We start from the raw sequence: 5,852 nt of genomic DNA, 5'->3' as shown, positions 1-5,852 counted from the left end.
CACATCCCGGGTTCAAGTGAGTCCCCAGCCTCAGCCTCGCAAGTAACTGGGACTACAGGCACACACCACCACACCCGGCTATTTTTGGTATTTTTTAGAAGAGACAGGGGGTTTCACCACGTTGGCCAGGCTGGTCTCAAACTCCTGGGCTAAAATGATCCACCCACCTCGGCCTCCCAAAGTGCTGGGATTACAGGTGTGAGCCACTGGTCCCAGCTCAGCCTTAATGTTTTCTTTTTCATAAATATATTCATCAATCTAATTCGTGTAATCATCTCTTTGATGGCTGCGAAGCTCTTTGTTGGCTGAGCATAGATTTGCCTTTTAATAATTTGTTTCTGCATCTGAGCGGGTAAAAACTGTTCTGGTCTACCCTCACTGAGGCTGTGTGGAGGAAATGGTGAATGTTTCCTCCTCTTTCCTCTCACCTCTGAGCCCACTATTGTCCCCCTGGTCAACCACCTTTTCTCTGGCCTCAACACCAAGCAAAGGGGTGAGTGAATATCAGCCTGGTGAGCAGCTCAAGCAATTCTGCAACTAACAGAAGGCCACCTCCTCATTCTTTGACCCCTTCCTGTGACAGAGACTCCCTGAGGTCCGCAGCCGGGCTCTGCCTCATGAGGAACAGAGCCACGGAGATAAATGGGAGGGGTCCTTGGCTCAGCAGCAAGGAGTGGGGGAGGGGAGGAGGCCAACAATCAATGAAAATAGTCAGCATTGGGTGGGATTGATCTGGAGTGAGGAATTAATAGAGCAAATCACTGCTGGGCCTGCTTAGCTGTGACTAAGCAGAGACTTCCCTGACTTCATTGCTGCCTGAGTTGAGCAGCAGCCAGGAGGGAGGTGGGGACAACAGGGAGACCTAAAGAAGAAATGGGGGGGAGGAAGCTCCAGGAGACAGGGCCGGCCAGGGCCAGGGGCTCTTGACTCCAGCTTGGTTCCCCAGAGGGTAGGTCTTGGGGGCCCTGGGGGACCAACTGGGATACTTGGTAAATGGAGCACTGGGGGGTAAGAGACAGGGAGAGGGAGAGCCCTGGCACTTGTTCCAACCCAAAGAAGCCCTCTGTTGTTTTCCCTCTAGAAAACAAACTAGTTTGTTTTAAAAAATAAACTTTTTTTTTTGAGACAGAGTCTTACTCCATCGCCCAGGCTGGAGTGCAGTAGCACGATCTTGGCTCACTGCAACCTCTGCCTCCCGGGTTCAAGGGATTCTCCCGCCTCAGCCTCCCAAATAATTGGGATTACAGGCACCGGCCACCACGCCCAGCTAATTTTTGTATTTTTAGTAGAGACAGGGTTTTGCCGTGTTGCCCAGGCTGGTCTCAAACTCCTGACCTCAAATGATCCACCTGCTTCAGCCTTCCAAAGTGCTGGGATTACAGGCGTGAACCACCACACCCGGCCTAAAAGTAAGCTTTATTTTTACAATTTTAGATTTACAAAAAAAATTGTGAAGATAGTACAGAGTTTCCAGGTCCATAGTACAGAGACCTCATAACCCCCTGCTGTAGTTTGAATGTGTTCCTCCACGTTCATGTGTTGGAAACACAATCTGCAGTGCGACAGTGTTAGTAGGTGGGTCCTAATAGCTGATGAGGTCATAAGGGAGAATGGATTAACATTATCATGGTAGTAGGCCTGTTATAAAAGCAAAGTCGGCCCCCTCTTGTTCTCTAACACATGCTCTTGTGCCCTTTTATCTCCCACCATGTTGTGACGCAGCAAGAAGACACTCACCAGATGCAGTCCCTCAACCTTGGACTTTCCAGCCTCCAGAACTGTAAGAAATAAATTTCTTTTCTTTTCTTTTCTTTTTTTTTTTTTTTGAGCTGGGGTCTGGCTCCATTGCCGAGGCTAGAGTGCAGTGGTGCAATCTTGGTTCACTGCAACCTCTGCCTCCCAAGCTCAAGTCTTGTGCCTCAGCCTCCTGAGTAGCTGGGACTATAGGCATACACCACGCCAAGCTAATTTTTGTATTTTTCCTAGAAATGGGGTTTCACCATGTTGGCCAGGCTGGTCTCGAACTCCTGGCCACAAGTGATCTACCCACCTCAGCCTCCCAAAGTGCTGGGATTACAGGTGTGAGCCACCACACCAGTCTCTCTTTTCTTTATAAATTACTCAGTCCATGGTATTCTGTTATAGCCACACAAAATAGACTAAGACACCCCCTCACCCAGCGTTGCCTCTTATTGACATCGATATTAGTATGGTACCTCTGTTGAAATTGATGGGCCAGGCTGCCTCAGCTCCACACTCTGAAGAGAGGTGGGGAAGGCACTGCAGTAGGAGAAAGACTTCAAGGCCCCAGTGAGCTGTTGGGTGCAGGAGACACAAGAGGCTGGAGGGCCAGCAGGAGGCTGGGACCAAGGTCCCAGCGATCCCTGAGATCGAGTCCCTCTTTCTTGCAGCAGCTGCTCTCTCCAGGCCATAGGACTGGCCTCAGAAACTCCCCCACTGTCACCAGCCCTGCTTGCCACTCTCCCACTCCCAGCCAGACTCCTCCTCATCTTTCCCTGCCAGGCCTGCTCACCAGCACCCGCAATCCTCATGAACCAGCCCCTCCTGCCCCTGTAGCTCTCTGCTGCTCTTCTTGGGGCACGCAGCCATCTCTTGGCAGCCTGTTAGCCCAGCAGAACCTGGAATAAAATCTCCCTTCCAGGAGCCAGGTGTCAGGGTCAGAGGGAAGAAGACACTCCTGGGGTACAATCCCACCTAACAGGACTTCTCTCTTTGTTCTGCCTCATTTGGGCCTGGCCATCCAGGCCTTCCTTTCCTGTCCAGCCTCTCCCCTCATCGATTACTTGTAAACCTATTTGCATTTCCTTGTGCAGAGAGCTGCTTGCTTCTCCTCCGGGCAAATCCCCTGAGGTGATCGTCCAAGAGGATTTCTGCTATCTCCCAAGGCTCTGAGTGTCCCAGTTGTCCCCTAGGCCTACCCGAGGGTGGGGCAGCTGCCAAGGATGCCCCCTGGGCTTGAGAGGCTTGCGTTGGCCCCTCCACCTTTCCTTTGTGCTGTACGGTGCCTTTCTCCACGTCCTCGCTTCTTCCTGGATACTCTACGCCACAACGGGCGGAGCAGATGTTACTCTTCCATTTTATAACACAGAGAGAGGGTAAACACCCCGGCCCAAGGCCCACAGATGGTCAGGTCATCCTATTAGATGCTTTCACGGTTTCTTACAGCATGCCTCCAAGTTCACAGGACATTTGCAATTTTATATTTTATTTGTATGGTTACTTAAATGCTGTCTTTCCCTCCAGACTGTAAGTGCCATGAGAACAGGGAACTTGGGGCCAGGCGCGGTGGCTTACACCTATAATCCCAGCACTTTGGAAGGCTAAGGCAGGCAGATCATTTGAGGTCAGGAGTTCGAGACCCCATCTCTATGAAAAATACAAAAATTTAGCCAGATGTGGTGGCATATGCCTGTAATCCCAGCTACTCAGGAGGCTGAAGTAGAATTGCTTGAACCCAGGAGGCGAAGGTTGCAGTGAGCCGAGATTGTGCCACTGCACTCTGGCCTGGGTGACAGAGTAAGACTCTGTCTCAAAAAGAAAAAAAAAAAACAGGGAATCTGGGACTGCTTTGCCTACTACTATATCCCCAGTGCCTTGCCCCACTGCCTGATACATATTAAATGCTCAGTCATTATTTTTAAATTATTGAATAAATGATGAATTATAGGCAGAACATTCATCTGTGCATTCAATAATGGATTGAGGGTCAGGCCCTTTGATGGGTCCTGGGATAAAAGAAGAAGAAGATGTAGTGCCACCCTTGAAGAAATCCGTCTTATGGGAAAGATAGACTTGTAAATAAAAAAATTACATAATCCCAGTACTTCGGGAGGCTAAGGCAGGCAGATCACGAGGTCAGGAGTTCAAGACCAGCCTGACCAGCCTGACCAACATGGTGAAACCCTGTCCCTACTAAAAATACAAAAATTAGCTCAGCATGGTGGCACGCACCTATAATCCCAGCTACTCAGGAGGCTGAGGCAGGAGAATTCCTTGAACCCAGCAGGCGGAGGTTGCAGTGAGCCGAGATCCTGCCTCTGCACTCCGGCCTAGGCGACAGAGTGAGACTCCATCTCCAAAAAAAAAAAAAAATTACAACACAACGTGGAAAATGCCATAATCAGGAATGTCCCAAGTGCTGTCAGAGAACAGAGGTTATAAACTTGCTGGCTGGGCGCAGTGGCTCATTCCTGTAATCCCAGCACTTTGGGAGGCTGAAGTGGGAGGATTGCTTAAGCCCAGGAGTTCAAGACCAGCCTGGGCAACATAGTGAGACCTCATCTCTACTAAAAATCAGCCAGCATGATGCACACCTGTAGTCCCAGCTACTCGGCAGGCTGAGTTGGGAGGGCACCTTGATCTGAGAGCTCAAGGCTGCAGTGAGCCATGATCACAACACTGCACTCCAGCCTGAGCAACAGCAGGACCCTGTCTCAAAAATAAATAAATCAGCAAATAAATACACTCTTCCTGGAAGGTCAGGAGGGCTTCGGAGGGGAGGGGACTGGAAGGTTGACAAGTGGTTTACTTCCTGGAGGGTTGGAGAAAGACATTCCCAGACCGAGGATGAATCCTGCAGGAGCTGACATGCCGGGGAAGGCCTGGGAGCAGCCTGGCACGGCAGGACTTGAAGCCAGGCTCATGGCTCTTTCCCATCCCCACACAGGAGCTGGAGATTTCCCACATGTGCCCCTCAGGGTCCTGGTCTGCGAGGACCACATCTGGGTCCAATCCAGGGTATTAGGACTGCTGACCTCCTGTCATTCTCCTTCGCTGATGGGCTGCCAGAAACCTCATCCACGAGGGAGTTCACATCTAAGCCAATTTGAAACAATCTTACGAGATTTCTTGGGCCCAAATCTCAAATACAGCCTATCTCATCTGCTCACCCCGCTCTCTCATCTCGTAATTCCATCCATCACATCATCAAGTCGGTGGGTCACAGCTGTCAGTAGACAATTTCATATGGTCTTCCTCGAGCTGTTTCTCTTTGACTCTCCTTCCCTTTGACACGGATTTAGCATAATCTGTCTGGCTTTCAACTCCAGATACTGTTACCTCTTTCGTTTGTTGTTGTTTAGGTTGAGGGTAAGATGTGGAAGGGCACAGGTGTGCACAAAAGGAAGGGAGTTCTCTTGGGGGCCAAGGTGGGCTGTGAGCTTCCGCAGAGGGCAGTAGGAAACAGGGTTATCAGTAAGTCAGTACCAAGGAGAGAGGCAAATGCCGACTACTATGTGGGGAGTAGGAGGGAGTCAGAGGTAAGAACTATGGATCGTTGGGACATTTAGGTTGTGTCGATCATGGAGGCCAATCCCATGTCACAGTGACGAATGTCATTGAAGGGTGGTATCGGCTCAGTGGAGAGACGTAGGCCACTTGTACCTCTACAATTAGAGTAATTTTTTAAAAAAGGAACCCAGTAATTTTGACCTAAAATATCAACTTGTAGATTTACTTTTTTTTTTCGAGACAGGGTCTTGCTCTGTTGCCCAGGTTGGAGTGCAATGGCATGATCTCAGCTCACTGCACCCTCAACCTCCCGGGTTTAAGCAATCCCCCTGCCTCAGCCTCCTGAGTAGCTGGGATTACAGGAGTGTGCCTCCACCCCTGGCTACTTTTTATATTTTTAGTAGACACAGGGTTTCACCATGTTAGCCAGGCTGGTCTCGAACTCCTGACCTCAAGTGATCTGCCCACCTAGGCCTCCCAAAGTGCTGAGATTACAGGCATGAGCCATCGCACCCAGCCGTAGATTTACTTTTTATGCCACCCATACACACGGAACACAAACCATTCCCCACCCACAGTGGACTCCTGGATTTCTCCCCTAC

General features: G+C 50.2%; 1 annotated feature.

Annotated features, from left to right (window-relative positions):
- Nucleotides 2,562-3,062: an enhancer, noted in NCBI's record as "H3K27ac hESC enhancer chr14:74732232-74732732 (GRCh37/hg19 assembly coordinates)". NCBI's record gives its function as "activates a minimal SCP1, AML or CMV promoter by ChIP-STARR-seq in naive H9 embryonic stem cells {active_cell/tissue: H9 hESC(naive)}" and the evidence as "EXISTENCE:reporter gene assay evidence [ECO:0000049][PMID:30033119]".

This window comes from Homo sapiens, chromosome 14, assembly GCF_000001405.40.
Source record: "Homo sapiens chromosome 14, GRCh38.p14 Primary Assembly".
In the NCBI taxonomy this organism is placed as follows: domain Eukaryota; kingdom Metazoa; phylum Chordata; class Mammalia; order Primates; family Hominidae; genus Homo; species Homo sapiens.
This window is presented reverse-complemented; position numbering and strand designations above follow the sequence as displayed.